The following is a 25210-nucleotide window of genomic DNA, read 5'->3' as shown; positions in this document are numbered from 1 at the left end:
TGTGAGCCACCGCACCAGGCCAAATTTTTTTTTTTTTTAAATGTAACAGTATGTCTCGGAGGAGCTTTTTCATGCATGCAAATCTATACCCACATCATTATTTTTAATGGTAAATAAATATTTTCTTTTGGTCTTGTGCAATATTGATAAAGGATCATTACCTTAATGATGGTGTTGATGTGAAGCCTTGTTGTCCAGCCCCTCTGCCTCCTTCTGCTTGCTGCCTACACTTCATGACTCTCTTCTAATATACACATCAGGAGGCTTGTGGTAAAACAGGATATTTAAAAAAATTAAAATCTCTGATGATTATTATGTATATCTCAATGTTGTGTGTGAATATTGAGTTCTAACAAACTAAAACAAGCAAATTTTCACCATAGATTTCCTGACTTTTTTAAATTTAGATTTTAATGTCATCTCTTTATAGAGGGGCGAGCTCATCCAGCAAAGCCTAACCTGAGTTCCTGGGTGCCCATCATTCTCCCATGTGCCTCTTGGCATGCCTCGAGGGACAGCAGATGCAGCAGTCTGGACCTGAACTAGACTCTCCAGAATCAAAATATCCAGGGTCTGGGATAGTTTAGTAGGTGTACGGGGTCACTGGGCTCCCAGAGATGGAAAATATTAAGCTTCCTTTGATCTCTCTCTGAGTTCCCAACCCTTCCTTCGTCCTCAACAACAGAATGGTAACAAATGTCATATTCCATTCACAGATTTTATGCCACCTCGTCAGGGATGTGGGCTGCTCTGTTATGTTATTCACAATCCCATGATTTTGACTGATCTTGGATTTACTTGGAATCCAGTCTTCATTCACCAATTTGGGGAGAATAGCTTTATGATCCTGAAGGTGGTGCTAGCTGGAATGGTGCACCCAGGCTTCTGTGAGATGATGCCATCGGGGCATCTAGAGGTCTCAGGCTGGCCCGGACAGTTGCATATTTCTACGTAATTTTTTCCTAGAGTTACTAACATCCCAGAGATATAGGGAGTTTTGGGTAGTTTCATTACAGAGAATTATTCTTGATGAATTTTGGTGTTTTATACCATTTTGTGCTACTCAGTGACAACTTTTATTAACTTTAGAAGGAATATGCTTACTGGCTAAGTATAAGACTTGGAAAATAGAGATTGACTAGGTTGTCTGCTCAAGAAGTCTGGAAAACTTTTCCTCTGAATTCTTGAAATGAGAGCAGTAATTCATTGGGGGGAGTTATATTGTAGAACAGGGGTCCCCAACCTTTTTAGCACCAAGGACCTCCATTTTGCTTACCTCCTGCTGTGTGGCCCTGTCCTTGGCACAGAGGTTGGGGTTTCATGGAAGACAGTTTTTCCATGGACGGGGGTTGTGGGGGATGGTTTCAGGAAGAAACTGTTCCACTTCACATCATCAGATTCTCAGAAGGAATGCACAACCTAGATCCCTCACGTGTGCGGTTCACATTCTCACATTCTCACTCAAGAATGTGAATCAAATGCCACTTCTGATCTGACAGGAGGCGGAGATCAGGTGGTAATGCTGACTCACCCACCGCTCACCACCACTGTCCTTGGCCCAGTGGTGGGGAATCCTTGTTGCAGAATAAAGAAAATACAAAGAGCTAGAGAAGATACAGATGGAAACATCTGCTAACCTTGAGCTAGGTAACTGTGGGAGGAGTACTCTATTTCTCTAGGCAAGGTTCCCCAGAGTGAACAGATGACGATGCTGCCTACCTCCAGGTTGAAATGAGATCTGTGTTTGAAGACATCTAGAACCAGTCTAATGAGAGTATACACATAGTACATGTTTTCTCATTTCAGTAGTATATGCTGTTGTCCTCTTTGCTTGTTTTTAGGGACATGTCTTAGTAATTGTAAGATCCAAAGATGACCCTCAGGATGAGTGTAGAATTTTGTGACATTCCACCACAAAACCCGTAATCCAAAAGATGGCCCTCTATGAGAATGCAGAATTTTTTGAGTATGAAACTCCAGATAACAGTAGAGGTTTGCAAAGAATGAGACACAGTGGTTATACAACAGAATTACCTGATGAGTTTATTAAAAAGGAATTTTTGGGGACCAATCCACGGATTATCATCTAATAGATCTGCAGTTGGATCCAGACCTCCTTATGTCCCGACAAGTACTTTGGTGAAATCTGATCCAGGTGGTCCCAGGACCACATTTTGAGACACACTGTCTTAACGACTTTTGTCTTAATGACTTTCCAGCTTCTTCACTATTGTCAAATGAGCGTTTAACCTGGAAAGAAGATATAATATAAATAAATAGTACTAAGGTTGAAGAAAATGTTTAGCATAGAGCAAAGAAACCTGGCCTTGGACTCAGAATGCTTGGGTTTCTTTTTTTCTTTCTTTTTTCTTTTTTTTGAGACGGAGTCTCGCTCTGTCACCCAGGCTGGAGTGCAGTGGCGAGATCTCGGCTCACTGCCAGCTCCGCCTCCCAGGTTCATGCCATTCTCCTGCCTCAGACTCCCAAGGAGCTGGGACTACAGGCGCCCGCCACCACGCCTTGCTAATTTTTTGTATTTTAGTGGAGACGGGGTTTCACTGTGTTAGCCAGGCTGGTCTCGATCTCCTGACTTTGCGATCTGCCCATCTCAGCCTCCCAAAGTGCTGGGATTACAGGCGTCAGCCACGGCGCCCGGCCTTGGGTTTCTTTATGGCTGGTCCATAACTTCTGTGGCCCTAGGAAATTATGTAAAATTTAAAAGGTTAAGGAAGTAGGATAAAAGGTTAGTTTTCTTATCTATTAAATAGGGATAATGATAATTATGTAGCATAATGGTCAGAATGGTTGAGTAAGAATCTAAGTGAAAGTACGTAGCTCTTAATATGTCTTCAGTTGGGGTTAATTTTCTTGCTTTGTGATCGGTAATAGAGTAAAATGGCCTTGAAGAAGAGATGCTTCTATGAGTAAATGTGATCCTGCTGGTCAAAATCATACTGAGCTATGTGGGTCTTACAGATACTTTTAAGATATTATGAAGTTCTTCACTTATATATGTGAAACTTGAGATGATTAAAAGCTTTCTTTACAAATGTTGCTATGTTTAGTGACATTCATATCAATGGTAAATGGTCAGACTACATTATAATTTATTAGCATTTTTTCCTATGCTCATATCCGAGAAGGACACACACACTCACATAATCCACATAGGGGGACAACAAAACAAAAGTCACTGTATATCACATTTGAATTGCATCAGTTTCTTAGACTCCGGAGATAAATTCAAGAAGGAACTTCAGTCTTTGGAGCTGTAGTTGCCATTCAGCCTCAAGGTCTTAAGCTTTTCTGACAGCATGGCCGTGTCTTGGCGCAAAGAGGCAGCAAGCCCGACAAATTGTGTAACCATTTTCAGACGTTGGCTTTTTTCCCCCTCATTGAACCTCCCCCAGTTGTCATCAAAAATTGCGATTTTGGAGTTACCTCTGAGAGGGTTTTCACATTAAGACAAGACATGTGAAAAGATCTTTGACAAAGGGTGAATATACATATATTAATAAATTAAATTTCATTTCTTTTTTTTTGCCCAGTGTCCAGTAAAATGTTCCTCTAAAACATTTAATGGCTTTATTGACTTACCATCATACCTCTTATTTCTCCATGCTCTTATTTAAGAGTTGGATTCCAGCTTGATCTCCTTGTCTGAGTCTTCTCCTGACTAGAACTGTAAAGCATTTTATTCGGTCATATTAGAGTGTGTAAGGGCCTTCGTGCTGCTCAGATCAAGGACAATCCCCTAGGCGCCTTATCTCAGTGAATGCTTTATTGACCCCCAAGATGAATCCAGGTCTTCTCTACTCAAACCAGCTTCTGAATGATCTCTTCTCCAAATATTCTAGTTCAAGCATCTCCCAGCATAAAGAACCAAGCAAAATTAAACCAACCCATCTTTTGACCTGGTTTCCTCCTTAAGCTTACTGCCAGTGTTTCTTCCCAGCTGCTTGGTTGTCAAACGCATGTCTTTGAAATTAAGATTTGTCCAGGCAGGATACTCATTTGGCACCAGTGATAGTTAAAAGACTCATCAAAGTACTGAGATACACACTGAAAGTGAAAAGACGAGACTGATGGCATGTGCCAAAATGTGACTCTTTGAGCCTTTGTAAAGTTTTGTTCCTTTCTCTGTTCTTTTATCTGTTTGTTTTTTCCACAAATACTTACGGAATGCTTGTTATGAACCTGGCACCGTGCTCAGTGCTGGGGTTACAGTGGTGAACAATCAGGTTTTACTCCCCTGGAAACTGTATTTTAAACAAGGGGATGAGTAGTAAACAAGATTTCAAATACCAGTGAACACTGAGCATAATCAGAGCCCAGAGACTTGGCATGTGGAATGCTCCTGTAGATACTATCATTTAGGGGATGTTTAACATTTTACCAAGTCTTTCTTTTTGTTTGCACCCCTTCTCTGCAAGTGTGGTGTCAATTCTAGATTGTAAGTGGAACCAGGCAGGGACCATGTCTAATCATCTTTGTGTCTTTGAGCCTGGTACAGTGCCTCACACACGGCAGGCCCTAGTTAACTGCTAAACAGATAGTTCTTACTCTTACCACTCTTTTTTCTTGTACCTTGCCTTTCCTTGTAATAGTGTTTTGACTTAAAATACACATTCTCTTCTTTCTTTTCTAAGCTCAGTTTCTTCTACTGCTCCACTGACATGTGGACTCACCTCAAGCTAATGAAGCTGAAACTTCAGGACTTCTTCCTTACAGAATCATGTTCCAAAGTTTGCACCAAAGTTTGACTTTTATAACCTTTTTCTTTCTTCCTTTTTTTTTTTTTTTTTTTTTGAGACAGGGTCTTGTTCTGTTGTATAGGCTGGAGTGCAGTGGCGGCATGATCTTGGCTCACCGCAACCTCTACCTCCACCTCCCAGGTTCAAGTGATTCTCGTGCCTCAGCCTCCTGAGTAGCTGGGATTACAGGCATGCACCACCACACCTGGCTAATTTTTGTATTTTTAGTAGAGACAGGGTTTTACCATGTTGGCCAGGCTGGTCTTGAACTCCTGGCCTCAAGTGATCTGCCCACCTCATCCTCCCAAAATGCTGGGATCCCAGGTGTGAACCACTGTGCCCAACCTATAGTCTTTTTTCTTAAAGGTTTCCCAATTGCAAGAGCTTTGGCACTTAAAAAACCTGGATCTATCTCTGATCCTAACCCATGTTAAACTGCCCCTTTTCTGAATTTTGACTGCAATTCTGGCTAACCAAAATCCAGAATTTGGCTGTGACAACTCCTCCTCTTTTGAAGTATCTCATGGTCACACATGAGAAACACATCCAAAGGCTTGAATTTGTGATTTGACTAAAACACATCAGTGAACCTCTCAGAAACATACACTCATCTACAAATGTGCAGAACAGCCATCTCTTCTTTTTTCAGAACTATTGTGAAGATCAAATGGTGTAATTGATGTGAAAGCACTTTTCAAACTGTAAGATGCATGAGAAAATAATGGACACTGTTGTCAGGGAGTAGAGCTGGAAAGCATTCAGGGGAAGGAATGTCTGATTTCCTTAATGCTCTGCTCTGCAGCCTGTGCCTCCGTCCGTCTGCCTAACAGTGGAGTATATCTTGAGTACATACATATTTCCAGCACTACCCAGGCACCCAGCAAAATGAATGTCACCGCCCATTTTTGCGGGGCTTCCTGTCACCCTGAGCACAGACATAATTAATTGTTGCCTCCCAAGTGCTGTGATGGGGAATTGGGGCATGAAAGGCACACAAAGGAAGCTCACCTACCAGCTGTGGGTGTGTGGCTTTGGACGGAGAGGGAGTGGTGTCCAACCTGAGACCTAAAGATGACCAGGAGCCATGCGGTGGAGAAGGGGGAGAGCTGGATAGAGTCTGGAGTCGGCTGGACAGGAGGGTGTCGGAGGTGACTGACCAGCGTGTACAGAGGCCAGGAGGAAAGAGGGAGACATTCGTGTGGCTGACGAGTAAGATGGGCTCCGAGGGCAGTGGGAGAGATGAGTCTTAGGGGCAGCTGGGGTCAGAGTTCAGGGCCCTGTGCACCATGTCATCCTGAGGGTGAGGCAGAGCCAGTGAGGGGTGTTACCTTGTTGGAAGACGTGGTCAGATGTACTTTTAATATGGCTTTTTTAGTAATCTAGGGAGTTTACTTTTTTGAAGGACAATATATCATTATGGTAAAAATGAGTGTTTTTTGAAGGAATACATGAATGACTCAGTGAACTCCTTAACAGTTTCTGGCACCATAGCAGTCTAGCTTTATGCTTATAGGACACATGTTTAAACTTAGAAACTTCACTTTTTTTCTATAAAATAAAAGTCACAGTTAATATCACAATATATCAATCTATACAGCAACCCCAAATATAAGTACTTTGCACATAAGTACCCAATAAATGGTGCTAATGTTACTATCCAGGGAAGAATTGAGGATGATCTGAACTAAGGAAGTGGTAGAAGAGATGGAGAAAAATGAATACTTTGAAAAATGTTTAGGAGGTAGAATTTTGAGACTTAGTGACATGTTGGGTATGGTGGGAGGTGAGGGAGAGGGGAATGGCCCCACTTGCTGTTCCCTGAGATACACACACACACACACACACACACACACACACATATATGAGTTGATGGTGGGGTTGGTGATGGCATGGTCAGGAGTTTGTCCTGAAGTTCCTGTGGGACATTTCAGAACCCATGTCTAGTAGCCTTCATGTATCAGCCAGCAAGCCAGAGAGGTCCAGCTCAAAGATCAAGACTCAGAATCCTCCAGATAGGAAGGTAATGAAAGCCATAGAAGCTGAGGTCACTAGAGAGAGGGCAGAGTAAAGAGAATCTGCAAGGGAGAAGTAGAAGAGGAAAAGGTCTATGGAGCTGGGGCAATGTGATTTGGAAAGAGGTAGTGTTCACTGTGGTTCTTGAACATTTAAATGACACGAGAGCTGCAATGCTCCCTTTGCATTTAGCCACGCTGATGTTGGTGAGTTCGCCATGAGGAGCTTGGAGGAGGAGTACCAGTTTTCCAAGCTTGTGCACTGATTCTTTCACCTCTGCTTCCCTTTCATCTTCAACCCCCTGTGTTCTGAGGGTGGAAGCCAGGCTGCAGTGGGCTAGGGCTGAGAGGAGGGCGGTGCGCACAGAGGGGGGACCTGGTGCTCAGGAAGAAACCAAAGCACAGATGTCTTTGCCACTGTAGGTTAGGTAAGATATATATATATATATGTATGTATTTGATGTAATTTTTATCCACCGTGTTTTATTTTTTAAAGAAGTATATTGAGAGGCAAAGGTGACATTGTTGGAAATGTTTACCTCCTATGTAGCTGAGGGGCTGTATTTAAAATTGTGACAGGCAGCTCAGCTTAAAGCACTAAACATAGATTTGCAGTATTTTCTTTTATGCAGCCCTTTTCTGTAGATCATAAAAGGCTCTAATGTGTCGTTTCGGAGCAGTGCCAGGGCAGTGATGACAGCTGTTTAATTCCCTTAATATGCTCTCTTTCTTCTCATGATCATGGAAATGATTCCACCAGTGGTAGCATATTCTTGATCACAGATGAGCAGAAATAGTGCAGCTGTATTGACCATTACTCAAAGGTAAGCAGTAAGCTTCAGTTCAATCCAATGGTTAATTAAGAAACTAGAGGATGGGCCAGGTGCGGTAGCTCATGTCTGTAATCCCAGCACTTTGGGAAGCCAAGGCGGGTGGATCACTTGAGGTCAGGAGTTCAAGACCAGCCTGGCCAACATGGTGAAACCCCATCTCTACTAAAAATACAAAAATTAGCCAGACGTGATGGTGGGTACCTGTAATCCCAGCTACTTGGGAGGCTGAGGCATGGGAATCACTTGAGCCTGGGAGGCCTAGGCTGCGGTGGGCTGAGATCACACCACTCTACTCCAGCCTGGGTGACAGAGTGAGACTGTCTCAAAACAAAAAACAAAGAAAAGAAGCTAGTGGATGCAGGAATGGGGTTGAAAATTATTTTACAAAAATATTATGAAATATTTCTGATACACAAAAGGGTTGATTGAAAAGATGATGACCTATATACACAGCCTGCACAAAATGTGACCCCAGCTGGGCTCAGGGTCTGTAATCCCAGCACTTTGGGAGGCCAAGGCAGGAGGATCACTTGAGCTCAGGAGTTTGAGACCAGCTTGAGCAAAATAGTGAGACCCCACCTCTACAAAAATTTTTTAAAAAAATTAGCCAGGCGTGGTGGTGTGTGCCTGTAGTTCCAGCTACTACTGGGGAGGCTGAGGTGGGAGGATTCCTTGAGCCTGGGAAGTCAAGGCTGCAGTGAGCTATGATTGCACCACTGCACTCCACGCTTGGGTGACAGAGCAAGATCCTGTCTCAAATAAATAAAATAAAAACAACCCTAAATTGCTAAATCCCCTGCATTCTCTGCATGTGCACCTCTCTCCCTCTTAGAAGAGGCGACTCTTCTGGATTTGTGTTTCTCATAACCATACGTGTCTTTCTTCCTTCCCACATCACTATTTCTAGCATTACTAAACTATTTGTGGTATTGTTTTTAATGTTTATATTTTTTAAAATAGTATACTGTGCACATCCTTCTGTAGCTTTTTGTTGTTGTCTAACAGTCAGATTGAGATCCGTGTATGTTGATATCTGTAGTATTCTATGGTGTGTTTCTTATTAGTTGAAGACTGGACGCTTTATGCAAGGTTTGTGGCTTCCTCACTGAACCTTGAACTGAGTCATGCTTCTCCCTTCTCCCTCAGAGGCATTGGACTTGCCGAGCCCTCGGCCTGGAACATTCTTCCTCTGCGTTTTCACAGCTGGCTCCCATGCCTTTCTTCATCCTTTGCCGCTTAGTGTAGCCTTGCACAGACCTCCTCCCAACCCCCACAACATCCTACAAAACCTGCTCCTCTTCCCTGATTACTTTTCTTCATATCACTACACATTTTATGTTTTCGTGTTTCTCCCTCAACCAGAATATCAGCTTCATGGCAACAGGATTTTTATCCATTTTGTTCACTGCCATAGACCCAACTTTTAGAACACTGCTCAGCACTTCTGTAGGTGCTCAGTAAATCCTCAAATGAAAGAGTCGTTTAAAATATAATGTGAAAAAATCCCACGAATTTATGAGGGAAAATTGCAGCTCAGTCTTTAACATTTTATTTAGCAGGTATGGTTTTATTAAGATTGATTTAACTTTAAATTGTAAATATAACTTCAAAATGTGAGACTCCGTGATGAGAAGAGCTTGCCTGTGCTGACTGCAGGAGCTTCTTGGGATACGAGAGAATCAGTGTGTGCTGGACTAAGACCTTACCCCACCGAGCAATGAGAGTCATGCTGCTCAGGGTGATGGTTGTGTTTTGGTCATTTTCAATTAACTTGGACTTGGGATTCTTTATGCTTTTTGGGATAATTTCTCCCCCTTAAGAATGAACACTTCCACGTTGTTAATACTTTCCCTGATATACCATCTGGCCTGCCCCTTTGTTCCCTTTCAATTTTAGCACAGTCTAAGGTAAACAGTTTTTTTTTTTTTTTTAACCAATGAATATTCTATTGTCTTGTAATTTGGAAAATAATTCGTACTCCTCTCATTTTCACTGTCTCTATTCAGTGCTGGGAAAATCAAAGTGCAGTTGGTTTTTAATTCTGAGCTCTTCAGTTAAGCACCAAGTAGATAAGCGAGAGTTTGATTAGGTGTGCATGCTAATTAAAGAAACACGAATGATAATTTTTCATTTGGACCACTGTAGGAAATTATTCTGAAGTATAAAGATAGATATTGGTGGTTTTCTATTGGCAACATCATTTATAACTTAGTTTTGAAGAATTTCTCATTCACAAGAAAGCTTCCATTGCTGGCTTATTTCTATTTTTTTAATTGAAAATTGAATTTTTCTCCAGTCAGAGAATCTGTATGCATTTTGGTAGGGCAGAGATCTGGGGAGAATCTGTCTACATGTTAGGAGGGCAGAGATTTTTCTTTAGCTCCAGGTACTCAGTAGGTATTGGTGAAATCGAATGGTCTCTCTTCATTTTTAAATTTATATTCAGTTACAGTCCTTTCTTCCTGATGTCAGTGGAAACTTGTTCTTGGAGGAGGCACTCGGATCAGTGCAATGATTTGAATGTGTCTCGTTGATAAAGGGAAGTTGATTGAGTGGTAAAGAAGATGTCAACTTAGATATTTTCTAATAAGTGAAGGTGTGGGGACATCTGGACCCTCCATCATCATTTCTTGTGAACTACCTCAGTGATGATCCACGTGAATTAAGTTTGACCAAGAAATACAGGCGCTTCTCCTCTTTGGCTCCATCTGTATTTGATTTCACTGATTTTAGGATGTCTGATAATAACTGTTCTCAATTGGATGTTATTACTCTTTAGCATGGACAGTCAGGATTATGTCTCAGGCCTGGAACAGCAAATTGGATGTTTTGAAGCTCTTTTTAAAGAGTCTCTAATGACATAGATAATTGTTTTTATGGTTTTCTGTAAAATGGAATTGCCTGATAGAGCTGTCTCGTTTCTTGGTGGCCTTTTATCTGATACTGCAAAGAGACTGAGGTGGCAAATTTCTCAGTAGAAATACCAGCATCATTACCATCCTTATAAGCACTAAATTTGCATTGGTTGTTTCTCCAATAGAAGACATCTTCTCAGATGGAAGTACAAGGGTTCCTGCAATTATTTTTATGCATCTGCCTGATAAAACAAGTTGTTTGAATGGTGGAGAAGAATATCTCAATATCAATTTAGATATTCACTAACAATGGAAAGAGAATGCATTCTCTAATATCATTTTCTTCATAACTCCAAGTTCTGAGAAGATATTTGTTAATTCTCATTTCATATATTACATAATAACTATGCATATGTATTATAATATGTCTATAATAATCATATGTGTTATAATCATTGTGGAAGTTTTAGATCAGATTTGGGATATGCAGTGTTATCATTATAAATTTATATAATCTCTACATATAATCCCAGCTCAGTAACTTACTAATATTGCAGCCATAGGCAAGTTCTTTAGTATCACTTAATGTCAGTGTCATCCCCTGTAAAGTGTGCATAGTAATACTAGCCTCATTGGATTTATGTGATGTTTATGTGCATATTAGTGCATATAGAAAATGGGAATTGTAGGAAAGCTGGCCTCATTGTGTTACTGTGTGTTATTAATATTACTATTCTTTGTAGAGTTTGTTTCAAAATCCCAGTGCTGGCGTCTGTGAGCGCTTTCCTAGGGCCATGGCACGCCTCTTGGATAACTCCTGGTTGCTTTGGCTGTCTGGGCACCACACTGACCAGCTCAGAGCGGGTGGCTGCTGGGCTGTCAGGGGCCTGCTCTACTTGGGTCCAGCTTGGAGCAAATGTAAGAAAGGTCATCAGGGATCAGGGTAGAGGGGACTTTTGTCACTTAGCTTCTCTCACTTTTGCCTGTCGTTTTAGATTGAATAAATTGAAATATGGCATGTCTGTGTTAAAACTGGGTTTTCTGCCACGAATGAATGATTAGAAATGAAGAACTGAAATAAGTTCAATCAAGAGGTTTGAGCTCACAGTGGGAGCTTTTATTGTGTGCATCTTTCATTTCAGACCAGCCCCTCCCCCACTTGCTTTGGAGAACTGCTCCTCACTCCTTTGTGGGGATGACTTGGGGCTGTCAACACAAGGAGCCATCTGTTCCCTGGCTAAATGATAGGCAGGTGACCCAGACCTGGCCAGTGCACTGCTGCATTCCCTTTTGCATGTGATCCACGCTAGCTCCACACATTCTCCACTAGAAACATTCCCCATGGATGGAGAAAAGGTGGCCCTAACTTTTTGAGTGGTTAAGATAGAAGAATTTGGCCTTCTTGCTTGGCCCGGAGAGCAAGATGCCAAGAAGAGAGATTGAATTACGTTTTAGCGAAGTGGAATCCCTTGAGATCTCTGGCACAGCCTTATTTCCTGCAGATGACCAATGGAAATGGCCAAAAGGATTTTCTGTTTATATTATAGTAGGAAAGCAACTGTTAGCTGTGTACTATAGTAGTTAAGAGTCCAGACCAGGTGCAATGGCTCACGCCTGTAATCCCAGCACTTTGGGAGGCCGAGATGGGTGGATCATTTGAGGTCAGGAGTTCGAGACCAGCCTGGCCAACATGGTGAAACCCTGTCTCTACTAAAAATACAAAAAATTAGCCAGGCGTGGTGGCAGGTGCCTGTAATCCCAGCTACTTGGGAGGCTGCGGCGGGAGACTTGGTTAAACCCGGGAGGCGGAGGTTGCAGGAAGCCGAGATTGCGCCGCTGCACTCCAGCCTGGACAACAGAGTGAAACTCCATCTCAGGAAAACAAAAAACAAAAAACAACAACAACAAAAAAAAAAATGAAAAGAGTCCGGCCAGTTACTCTGTATGACCAGAGAAAAGTTAAATAACATCTCTGTGCCTCTATTTATTCAGTTGGGAATAATAATAGTACCCACGTCAAAGGTTTGTTGTGAGAATTAAATGAATTATTATTTGTAGGGCACCCCTAACACACACATATATACACACACATATATATGTATATATAAACACATACATAGAAATATTCATAGAAATCATATATATATAGTCATTTAAATATCTACTTGTAGAGCATTATATATAGAGATCTATTACTTTTGGAATTTTTTTTTAAAAAAGGTTTTTAAAACAAGTAGAAAGGACATGATCTTGGACAGTTCTCAAAAACAAGTGTATACCAGTAGGTGTTAATTTTTTTTTTAAACAGAGTTTTACTCTTATTGCCCAGGCTGGAGTGCAGTGGTGCAATCTCGGTTCACCACATCCTCCGTCTCTATGGTTCAAGTGATTCTCCTGCCTCAGCCTCCCAGGTAGCTGGGATTACAGGTATGTGCCACCATGCCTGGCTAATTTTGTATTTTTAGTAGAGATGGGGTTTCTCCATGTTGATCACTCCTGACCTCAGGTGATCCGCCCGCTTTGGTTTCCCAAAGTCCTGGGATAACAGGCGTGAGCCACCATACCAGACCAATAGATATTAAAATTTTTTAAGTTGGGTATATTTTAAAACTTCAAATGAGGAAAAATTAAATTTTATTTTTCAACAAGATTGTATGTAAATTTTTATATCAGATTTATAGTATTAATGTTTCTAATTTGGAGTGTTGGTTTATTGTTTCAATTGACAGAAGCCCAATTTAAGCTAGTTTGAAGAAGAAAAGAAACAAAGGAAGACTTGGGGAAACAAAAGAATTGGAAGGGGCCCACTCTTGAAAAGCTTCTATTCAGAAACCATTATGGATGATTTGAGTAGCCATGTCTAGCATCATTTGATGTTCAATAATTCTGTCCTACCAATCTGTGAAATCTGGAAATCACTGTTTTCAGGGACTTTGTGGCCCTTGTGTGATGCTTACTGCATGTATGTCTGTTCTAATGGGAGATTTTAATGGGAATTAGTCATTTTGCATATCCCTGTTTGCTAAACTTGTGATGCGTTTGATACTAGGTCCTTGAATTATTTTCATTGCTAAAATATTTTTTATGTACTCTCTACATATAATACCAGCTCAGTCACTTTTAACTAGTATTGCAGCCATGTTGCAAAAAAAAAATTTTAGCAATAAAAGTAATATCATTTTCCGTTTATTCACTTATTCATCAAATATTTCTTGAGCACCTATCATATGCCAGGCACTTTTCTACCTAGCAGTAAGCTGCATTGTAGTACAATTAAAAACTTGTCTGTTATTTTGTATCTGTTGCTTTGGTTTATCATTTTTCATTGTTTAAGATTTGCCCTCAACCAGAATGGCTTCCAAGAGCAACTTCAGTTATTCATTTTTTTCAACTCCTTAAATGTAGACATTGGTCAAAAACATTCAGTGTGTTCTCTGAAGGCTTTCAACTCTCATGAAATTTTATGGCATGAAGACTAATGCCTGTATTTGTATATTTTTAAGCTGAGTAGAAAAAGATGAAATTTCTACAGGCTGTAAGAGATACTCTATTGGGATGCCTTATATGACAAATAACATTTTTCATTTAGATCACAATTTATTCTATAGATACAGATTGACTTTATTATGATGACTATCATGGAAGTTTAAAAATAGATTTGGCGGCCAGGCTTAGCGGCTCACATCTGTAATCCCAGTACTTTGGGAGGCCGAGACAGGCAGATCACTTGAGGTCAGGAGCTTGAGACCAGCCTGGCCAGCATGGTGAAACTCCATCTCTACTAAAAATACAAAACAAACAAACAAACAAAAAAATTTAGCTGAGCATGGTGGCGGGTGCCTGTAATCCCAGCTACTCGGGAGGCTGAGGCAGAAGAATTGCTTGAACCTGGGAGGCGGAGGTTGCAGTGAACCGAGATTGCATCACTGCACTCCAACCTGGGCAACAGAGTGAGACTCCAGCTCTAAAAAATAAATAAATAAATAAATAAATAACGATTTGGCATTGGAAGAAAATACATGTCTGTTCTAAAGATAACCCTTTTGCTTGTTGTAAACATCGTTTTGAGGTGTGTTGATAGTTTTTAATTGCATTATTGCTACAAGTTAAAATTTTAACTGTATAATTAAGGTTTTTATTATGGCTAGTGTTGAGATTATCAATATTTTATGACCAAGTGAATTTCAATAATATTTCAAGTGCCCACTGAGTTAGTCATTTTACATTTATTCACTTATTCATCAAATGTTTCTTGAACACCTATTATATGCCAGGCACTTTTCTATCTAGCAGTGAGCAAAAATCCCAGAAAATCCCTGCCCATGTAGAACTTATATTCTAGTGGGATCTTTTGTTATCTCTAAGCCTGTAACATCTGTGTTAGGTAGATATTGTCTCCTCAGTTTATAGAGGAGGGAACTAAAGTTTGAGGAGTTAAATGATTTGTCCAACAACATATGGAGAGTAAATGCAGGTTGGAATTTGAACCTGAGACTGTCTCATTCCAAAGCCATTTTGTCAATACAAATACTGTACTCATTCTAAATTTCAAGCATTTCTTATGATATCCTCACTGTTTAGCCAGCCATGCTCATCGTGGTGCTGTTTCTTTAATAAATGATTGAGTATCAGTGACACACGTGACCCTGACAAATTCCTGGCATTTGGTACTAAGCTAGATAATGTTGGGGGTTAACTTGATGAGCTGAATGTTAGCCTACTCTGGACCTGAACTGTAATCTTCCAGTGGACATTACTAGGCATGCGCCATTCACCCAAGAAAAACTGAAGTGAATCCTAGATAGGATCCTTTTTTTGTGTGTGCTCAGGTGAGTGCCTTAATGACGTATATTCAGAGTTAGCTAACAATGTAGATAAAATGCTTACAAAGCAAATCATTGTCATGTAGTTTCTATACCAGACTAGTTATTGAAAATGCTTCTGTTTGAATAATAAAATGGGACTGTGGCTTACAGATGGTTCTCTGTGTAGTTAAAATCCTGAAGCATTTAGGAACCATTTTATGCATTGTTTTGACCAGGGACAAGGATTTCAGTTAATATTGATAATTATTCATAATATTTTATCTTCTGCCTAAGGAGTGGTGTGTGGGTTATGGAGCACATCTCTTTCTGCGTTTGTTTTTTATGCCACCTATACTGAGTTTATGTTTTGGCAAATATTTACTCAGAAGGCAAATTATGCATTCTTAAAGGTTTCTTGTATTAAAACTGAAAGGCCCTTTGGAAGTTATCTTATTCAGTGCTTCCATTTACAAGTAATAAAATGGAAGTTCAGGGTGACCAGAGGCCTGCCTAAGGCCATGGGCCTTGTGGGTGGGAGTTGAGGTCTCCCTGGCAGTGCCTCTGTTCTGCTGATTTAATGATCCCCTCATGATAGCAGGAGTTTATGACATGTTTTAATTTTTTTGTGGTTGCCCCTTTTTATTTTTATGTTTTGTTTTCATTGTCTGCCTTTTGTAAGTCCTGAATAGAAGCCCTAGCCTCATCCTTTTTTTTTTTTTTTTTTATTTTGGGAAAGTAGGGGAGGCGAGCATGGGTGATACAACTTGGAAGGAAAAAGACCAAAATTAATTAGTGCAGCATTTTCTATTTGTGTTCTCCCAAATAATAGATTGTTACTAAGAGTGTTACTCTGTGTAACATAGTGAAAAGCTGGTTCAAGGTTTTGCTACTTGTTTTATTATTAGATCCTCATATGGAAAATATATTATTATACTTTGTTATTTTCTAGCCAGAACATTTTAAATCACAGGGGAGGTGCTTAACTACCCTAGCTCTGGTCCCTTCTCTAAAATGAAGCAGGCAGCTTGATTGTCTCTTCTAGATTAATACACTATGACTCAGAAACATGTCCAACTTATACAGCTCAGAAATAAATCTGGTGACCTAGTTTATTTGGCCTTGATTATTTTCTCCTTGATTTGAAGCATATTTCTTTTTGGGGCATCTCTCATTTGACATCTTTGAAACTCGAAATTGTTGTCGATTACTGTATATTGCTTTTATTACGAAGTCCCTGGAAGTGTAGCAGAGAACCATGGACAAGCTCCTTGGGTTGCGTCAAAAAGCAAAACAGTTCCATTCCTGAGAATCAGTTGCTGCTTTAATGCCTGCAGACATTTTAGGTTTGAGTTGTCCTAGCCAACATTTGTACAGTGCTGTGCAGATAAGGATATTCGTCATTCTAGTGATTTCCTTGAAAACTGAACAGTGTAAATCTGTGGGATAACTACTAGAGGAAAAGTTATCAGTAACTACTCAGCTAAATCCGCAAATGTAGGAAAGAGAAATATATCCTTTCTAAGGAAAAACAAAGACTGTCCTGCACGCTGGGTGGATCAGTGATTATGTAGCGGTTGAAAGCAAGATTTGTCCCGGTCCCCTCTGGCAGAGGCTCTGTAGTCACTCGGTGAGAAAATGCCAGAAGAGGCATCCCTCCACATGTAGCTCTGCAGTGCCCCTTAGGGACTCCTGGGCTGGGGTACACAGCCAATGGATTTGCATCCTCTTTTGAAAAAGGAGTTCAGCAGTTTGAAAGGCACCAACTTCTGCTCTAAACAGATCTTTGGCACTTGACTGGTTGTGGTAGAGTGATTCTTGGGTCTTGGTGATAACTGAGTGACTATTTTCTTTGAGAATTTTGGACAAGGAGAAAAATAGGAAGCAATCCGGATAGACTGGGGAGTAACTGAGGTCCAAGATGTGTAGAGGGACAGCACTGAAGGACAAGGAGTATAGTCGCGATGGGTTTCCCATACTCTCCTGTAAGATTAGCAGTTTGACAGCCTTCCTGAGCACACGCAGGGGCGTCTTCTCTGTACCCATGAACAGGGATACATGCAGTACCCGGCAACAAGGACAGTTTTTGCTACAAGTGTGATGCACGCCTTCACAAAAAACAGCTATTGAAGATTTGTTGTTGTTTCACTCGTCGTTTTCTTCTCCTGAAAGCTTAGGATGAGTCATTTTCCCTGCAGTTTTTCTGTCTTATCAGTCCTGTAATTTCATCATAATAATTCACCCTGGGATGTCACTTGACACACGATCTGAGATGACGTCTTTGCCGAGCAGATTGACTGTTAATTTGCCAAACAGACGGATTCAGACACTTTTTAGTGAGCTCCTGTTTACTCCTGTTACGTTTGAGAGATTTGTATCAAAAGAAAAAGCCCAAATCTTTTAATTTGCGTACTCCTTTTTATCTGCAAATACTTGTCCATGTAAAAGGATGTTCATTGCGGTCCCATTCTTAAGCAGCGAGAGTCTGGGGGCCCTGTGTGCCTGTCAGGAGGGGACTGACCTCACCAATCTCTACATCCCACGGTGGACACCCAGTCCTGTGCTGAATACAAGGAGGTCATTTTAGCCATCTAGTAAACTGTTAAGAAATAGTATAAAATACATTATTCTTTCATTTGTTTATTCAACAAAGACTTTCTGATTGCCTGTGGTTAAGTCCCAGGCATTCTTCTAGGACTGAAGATGGAAGAGAAGCAAGCAGATACAAACCCCTGCTGTTCTGGAGCTTCTATTGCACAGGCGAGAAACAGAAAATAATCAAGACGTGAATACAGCACAGAGGAGATCAGACAGGAGTTATGGGGCAGAATGAAGTGGGGCAAGGATCAGGAAGGGTGAGAGGATTTTAGGGAGTAGTTAGGGCAAGCTTTGGAGAGAGGTGCATTTGAACACTGTCCTGAAGGGCGTGTGAGGGAGTACACGGGGTGGGAGGTGGGTGGCGGTCTGAGGAAGAATATTACAGTGCGAGGCTCTAGGGTGGGAGTGGCAGGGAAGCCAGTGTGGTTGGAGCAGAGAGAGGGAGGGTTGGAGGTGGCGAGGATCCAGAAGAAACGGGGCCATGGGTGGCAGGGCCGTGTGGACCCTTGAAAGGCCATGGTCTCCCTGAGGGGGCCTGATGTGTGCATCCCCTGACCTGACCTTAAATTAAGAGAGGAGCTCTATAGGATGAGTAAGGAATAAATAGACCTTGTGGGGATGGAGAGAGGAGACGGAGCAGGGAGACCCCTTAGGAGCCCATTATGTCATCTAGCTAAGGGATGCTGGTGACAATATCTAGAGCCAGGACGCCAGTTAAGCTCTTCAAAGACTGAGCATAGGTATAGAAGAGTTCCAAGGACCAAGCCCTGTGGTCCTCCAGTGTCCACAGACCAGAGTGGTGGTCAGTGGGGGAGGAGGAAAGCCAGGAGCTGGTGCTGGAATCCTAAGGGAGAAAAGCGTCTGGTGGTGGCGGGGAGGGAGGGATGACCCGGCCACATGCTGCTGATGGGAAAACATCAAGTGGAACTCTGTGGATAAGATGCTTCCTGGCCAGGTGCAGTGGCTCACACCTATAATCTCAACACTTTGGGAGGTCGAGGGAGGAAGATTGCTTGAGGTCAGGAGTTCGAGACTAGCCTGGCCAACGTGGTGAAACCCTGTCTCTACTATAAATACAAAAAGGTTAGCCAGGTGCACTGGTTCATGCCTGTAGTCCCAGCTACTCGGAAAGCTGAGGTGGAGAATCGCTTGAACCTGGAAGGCAGAGGTTGCCGTGAGCCAAGATCATGCCACTGCATTCCAGCCTGGGTAACAGAGTGAGACTCCATCTCAAAAAGAAAAAAACATAATAAATGTCCTTTTTATTTATTTTTTAAGGGGAGGGGTTGTATACATATTTGTGCTGGAATATGATTAGAACATTTCTGGGGAGATACCCAGAAAACTTGACATTGTTTCTTCTGTGGAGGTGTCCTGGGGCAGGCTCCAGGAACGTAAGCGGGAGACCTTTTCAGTCTAACAATCAGAATTAACTTTAATGGGACCCTTCTGATCCCTCACCCTGTCAGACTCTCAGGTTTGCGGTTGCTGCATCCTCTGATTTGTTCATTCATCCATTGACAAATATTGAGTGCCTCCTATGTGCCAGAGACTGCTTGAAACGTTCAGTGATAGACGCATGAACAGAACCGACAAGACGATGTTGCTCTGCCCTCAGAGCAGCACCTAGTCCTCCTCCCTGACAGCTAATCCCTGCTGGGTTTAGGAAGAACATTCACATGCATCTGTGAGACTCGACTAAGATATTGTTGACTTGCAATCTGGCTTAAGACTTTATAGACAATCTTTGAAACTTAACTGTGATTTATAATACAATTTCTGTGGAAAATGGAATTTTTGGCATGCAACCATTTTACAAGTAATGTTTTGGAATATAATTAACTGGCAAATTGAGGCCTTTCCATACTCTGGTTTTAACTGTTCTGATCAGCAGATTTTGTGTGCAGTTATCAACTGTTAGTGATCTCTGCTAATACAAATATATAGTGGGCTAAATGTATATATTTTAACTGCTGGGTTAAAAAAACCAAGTCTGTCTTGTTAATTATTTTGCTTAGGCCAATCCTGCAATGAATTTACATTCCCTGTATTCATACCAGCTGATATCCACGACAGTCATATAGCTGTGGCTGTGGAAAAAGGAAATGCTGGAAGTTCACAGTGGTTAACATTTTTGCCTTCAGCGGACGTGATAGTGTTACAAACACTGTCCATTAAAGATGGTTTTAAAGCCCCTTTTTCTACTGGAAGGAACAGACTTCAGCTTACTGGGAAATTCACTTGGAGAACAACTGATAATGTCAGGAACCAGTATGAGTATTACTCTCTCCTTAACCATTTGGTTTCTGGGTTAAGAAATCCTCTCACTGGGAAATAGCACGTAAGGAGAACAAGAATCCCTATAATCGAGATAAATAATGAGCGTCCCCTTGCTTTTGTCTAAGCTGGGCATTTTTAAATCCTGCCAATTAGATGAGCCCTTGGAAAGTTCCTAGTAATGGCCAGGTGTCAACCACCCAGGAGGAGCACATCCGTAGTGGAAATGAGGTGTGAGTTTCGGGAGTATCTGCCCCTGGACTTGGGGCTCTGGATGTGGTGCTTGGATCAAGGGCATCTGCGGCACCTGGGCTTTTGTTGGTAAAACTATCTTTCTACCCTAAGGACTCCACATCGGCTATCAGCTGTTAGCATGTCTAACTTTCTATGGGCACTTACTTGCGTTTGGTTCATTATATTAGCAGCTTTTATAGTCAGGGAAATGATGACTTCCTGAGGTTGAGTGAGGAGGATCTGTGTGCACAGGCTTCCCTCTCCCATTGCAGCAGGTCCTCCTCTATTGAGAAAAACCTATTTCTGTGCATTTGCTTCCTGTGAACACCTAGGCTGGAATGAGAGGGGTGGTGGATAGTGCTCTGTGTTTTGAAAATGTTTTCATTTTCTAAAAATCAGACTTCATTTTGTTTTAAAGAGTTACTCCAATTTAAAGCTTGCTGCTTCCTCTTATTTTTTGACTTACAACTGTGTTTCACTTTCACGCTATCTTTTCTGGCATTGTTGACCTTAAGGATTTTGAGACAGGAGGGGGAGATTTTTGCCTGTTCTTTCTTACTTCCTTTTTGCTGTGCTATTTCAGTTAATCCTGGTGATGGTGCCTGGGAAGAAGAATTATGTAAAAGACCAAGAGAGTTGTTGTAACTGGTTCAATACTGATGTTCTCTGCAATTCTGAATCAGGAAGTTTCTAGTATTGCTTTCTACTTCCCTGTTTTTTATGCTTAGACTCAATTCCTTTCCCATATGACTGATGCAGAGTTCATTTCAAAGCAAACCTTACTTGTGGAACAGACTTGTTCATAGCAAATGGTTGAAGAATTCATATTTGCTACCCAAGCTGAATACCAAACAATGTTATTTCAGCAACACCATCTTGAAGAAGACTTTTTAGGGAATGCTACAAAGCAAAAAAACTCTCAGTAGCACCCCGCAGTGTACATGGTGGCAGCTGGAGAGTCTAATTATAGACTGGGAAGCCCCTTAGGAATTACAGAAAGTGTTAGGAAAGGCTTGCGGTAAGTGACAGCTGTTTGCTGTGGGCACCAAGGAGCCAAAGTGCATATAGAATAAAAATAAAATGTCCTCTCCAGCATATGTTGGTTTTAGACACTTGTGAAAAGCACCCCACTTACTGTTAGTAATAATAGATAGATGGCCAGTCACTGATACAGTGTTGGCTCAAAAAGCTCTGCAAGGGAGAACACACATTTATTTTATAGGTCAGAATTGTGTTTTAAAAATATTTGACTATTCAGCATATGTTGATTTAAAGATAGCTTGGGAAATAAACATTATATACCTGTAATTTGGAAAAAGAGAATATTATGGGTGCAGCTGTACCCTGTCAGCACTAATGGATTCTAGGGCCAAGGAAATCCCACCTTCTTGTCAGAAACATATGGAGTGAGAAACATTTCGTCTATTTTTTTTAAACCTCCAGCATCCAAGTAATACCAAGGAAGCGATAATGATTCCTCTAAGTGAATACATTTCTGAGACTTAGCATTTTTCATAAGAGGTTCATTTGAAAATATATTGTTTCTCTGTAACTTTCATTAATGTTTTGACATTTCTTGATAAAAATAAAGCAGATACACACATTTAGTATCCAATGTGCGTAAGGTGGTGTTTGTGGACTTGTCTTGTAAAAAGGAGAAAACTACTTTGGAAATAATTATTTGCTGGTGGATTATAATATTTATGTACAAATAGAGGAAGAAAGTATATTCCAAGAGCAATCCAGTCATATAACCTGTATTTTTACCACTTATGCAATGTGATGTCTTATTTTGGTTATGGTTTTAAATTACATATAAAATGTTGGAGAACATTTTGTGCCATTTGTGATTGGCATCACATATAAAAACATATATGAACTTAACGTTTTGCATTGCTTTATCCTGTGAAGGGAAGATGAACTTTGCACTATAATCAGTGGTGAGGACTATGCTATATTAACAGCTGCTCTAGTGTTCTGTTTCAATTAAGTTAGGGCAGGAAGGAGGAACAAGTGTTTCATACTGAAGTAATCACTGCATAAGGGTTGATGTCAGCTATGTTGCTGTTCACAGTTGTAATTTAATACACAAGACATACTGGGGAAAATCCTCATTTTCTTCCACTTTTGTAACCTTATAATTATGCTTTGGCCTCTGTAGTAACATGACCAAAGTCATTATTACTTTTTTAATTGACATGGACTTCAAGTTTTAGAATGCAGCTTTGGCTTTGCTATATCATATTTTATCATCAGACTTCTGGTAGGACATACATTAAAATTATCTTGATTTTCTGTCCTGGATGAGCCATAATGACTATAAGAGACAATATTCTGTATATCCTGGGTTTTGTAATCTGAAATATAAATAAGTAGGGGCTAATGTCTGAGTACTTAAGATATGCCAGATCCTGTATAAATTATGTGAATTTTCTTACTAAATCCTCATAAGCTGGTGAGAAAGGAATGTTAACTATCCCCATTTTGCTGATATGATTAATATCACCACTTAACTAAGCCAAGGCTCAGAAAAGTTAAGTTACTTACCCAAAGTTACCCAGCTAATTCATTGTGGAGTCAGTTGAGCCCAAGTAGTGTGACTGTAGGAGATAGACTCTTACCCTCTAGGTTTTACTGTGTCTCTATAATAGGCGAAGACCAATGGACAGTGTGCACAGTTTCCTGGCCTAGTCACAGAGGAGATGCTCCATGAGTGTGTAAATGAGAGAAAAGTCTTTCCATTTTCTGCACTGTCACCTTCTCTTTAACCTTGCTATCCTACCCTTTCCTTTTTTCTAGGTACTTCAAATTTGGCACAAACATAACTGGCTTTCTCTTTTCTCTACATAGTAGATTTGTGGTCCTCTCCAGCTCAGTTGATTAGCGTAGGTTAGGTTACGCTGCTGTAGCAACGCTCAAATCTCTGAGGCTTCAAAGAGCAAATTCACTTCTTGCATGAGCTATGTGTGCACTGTTGTTTGGCAAGAAGCTTTTACTCATAGGAATAATGGAGGGACCCAGGCTGATAAGGAAGTGTGATCCTACTATGTGCCTGGAAAGAGGAGAATCAGAAAAACTTGGGAGAGAGAATGACAAACGACTGCAGCTGCATTCCCTAACCACAGGGATCGAACATACCATCCACCAGATGCCCAAGCACCCTCATGCATGCTGTTTTCCTCATCCTGCTATATTCTATGGATTCTAATCTCTGCAGAAACTGCTTACTGATGCTTCTTTAGTGGTGGATCCAGCATTTACATATAGGCAGGGCTTAGCTAGGTAGGCTGTTGGGAAGTAGGGAACTAGAGGATTTATCCTAAGTCTACGTTTGCAGAGCCAGCCACTTGAAATTTTGACGATGATAATGATGATTTTAGGGTACCTTATGGTAGGAGCTGGAACTAATGGAGCTACTGGGGAGGGCTAAAGCTCCCCATCCTCCCTGCCTTCCAAAACTCCTCTCCATTTCTAGGATATTATAATTATTCAACCCCTCATCTTCTTTCTGCTGGGTCATCAAAACGCATTCCTCAATGGTCCTCCTTTATTTACTTTTGACCTCAGGTCTGTTCCCTAATCCATTCTCCATTCTCTAGCCAGTGTGGTGTGTCTGAAACACCAATCTACCTTTATTGTGCTCACCCTGAAAATCTTGAACTCGTTCTCCATTGCTCCTAATGTGCATTGATGAGTTCCCTTTGCGGTCAGATCGCTCGTGACCTCTTGAGCCTCCTGTCTTACCATCACCAGCCCCCACCCAAACAAAGACACTCTTTCTTCACCTTGCTGTATTCTTTGGATATCAGATTTCACTTTCTCTTGGAAGGAAACCCTGATCTCCCCAGTCAAGGTTGAGTGCCCATTCTCTATGTCTTCTAGCATCCAGTTCTCTATGTCCTGTAGCATCCAGGCCTTTTTAATGGCATTTCTCAGCTGTCTTAGAACTGTTTACTTGGGTGTGTTTTCTCTAAATTATAAGGTTTTTGAGGATGGGAATTTATATCCATGTCTTTTTTGTTCATCATTATGTCCCCAGCATTAGCATACTGTGCTGTGTTCATTACAGGAACAAGCAGCTGGGTGGTCTGATCCAGTCTAATTGTCCTCTGATTCTTCTTCCAAATCCATACCTGTTTTCTTACATTGCTGAACTTGACCAGAAAGAAAATTCTAATGCTACCTGATCTCCTTGTCTTATTGAAAGCGATTTTGAAGTAGTTATTCTCAAATATTACTTTACTCTGGAAGCCTTTTGAAACTGCGAATCTGTACCAGCTTAATTTTTGTGCATTCTTAATCTCCATCCAGGTGGTTCTCTGAATTTTGTTTTCATCCCTGTCTCTGGCACACATCTCTGTCTGTATGCGTCTGGAAGGTTGCAGTATTGAGGAACTAAGCACTGGGGATCACCTCTCTGTCTGTATGCGTCTGGAAGGTTGCAGTATTGAGGAACTAAGCACTGGGGATCACCTCTCTGTCTGTATGCGTCTGGAAGGTTGCAGTATTGAGGAACTAAGCACTGGGGATCACCTCTCTGAAAATTACTCTTAAATTAACATTTTATATGGTAAATGTAAAAAATAAGAGACCCTAAAAAGCTTCAGTTTGGTATTGTGAAATATGGATTCAATATTTGACCAAAAATCATGTTGATTTTGTTAGACTTATTATGAAAAAACCAATCTGGGCCAAAGAAGGGAGAACCCAAGTTTTGATCCTTTGCCCTTAAGGGAAAATTGGGTCTACATACAAAAAAAAAAAAAAAAAAAAAAAAAAAAAAACCAAAATACCTCCACAGCTATTAAAGAAAGGGTGAGACTTGGGACCTTTAACCATCTCTGC

General features: G+C 41.0%; 1 protein-coding gene across 41 annotated transcripts in view; it reads left to right on the top strand.

The window, feature by feature from the left end:
* Positions 1-25210, top strand: part of EPB41L3 (erythrocyte membrane protein band 4.1 like 3) — a 238278-nt gene that overhangs the window by 94123 nt on the left and 118945 nt on the right. For 3 of the 41 annotated variants that reach the window (NM_001384688.1, NM_001384690.1, NM_001384684.1), the window contains exon 1: positions 15162-15283. The exons of the other annotated variants lie outside the window; for them this stretch is intronic. The gene's annotated coding sequence lies outside the window, so the exon portion shown is untranslated. Of the gene's footprint in view, positions 1-15161; positions 15284-25210 lie in introns of those variants that run through there. 41 annotated transcript variants of the gene reach the window in all.

This window comes from Homo sapiens, chromosome 18 (genome assembly GCF_000001405.40).
Source record: "Homo sapiens chromosome 18, GRCh38.p14 Primary Assembly".
NCBI classification, from domain to species: Eukaryota; Metazoa; Chordata; class Mammalia; order Primates; family Hominidae; genus Homo; species Homo sapiens.
This window is presented reverse-complemented; position numbering and strand designations above follow the sequence as displayed.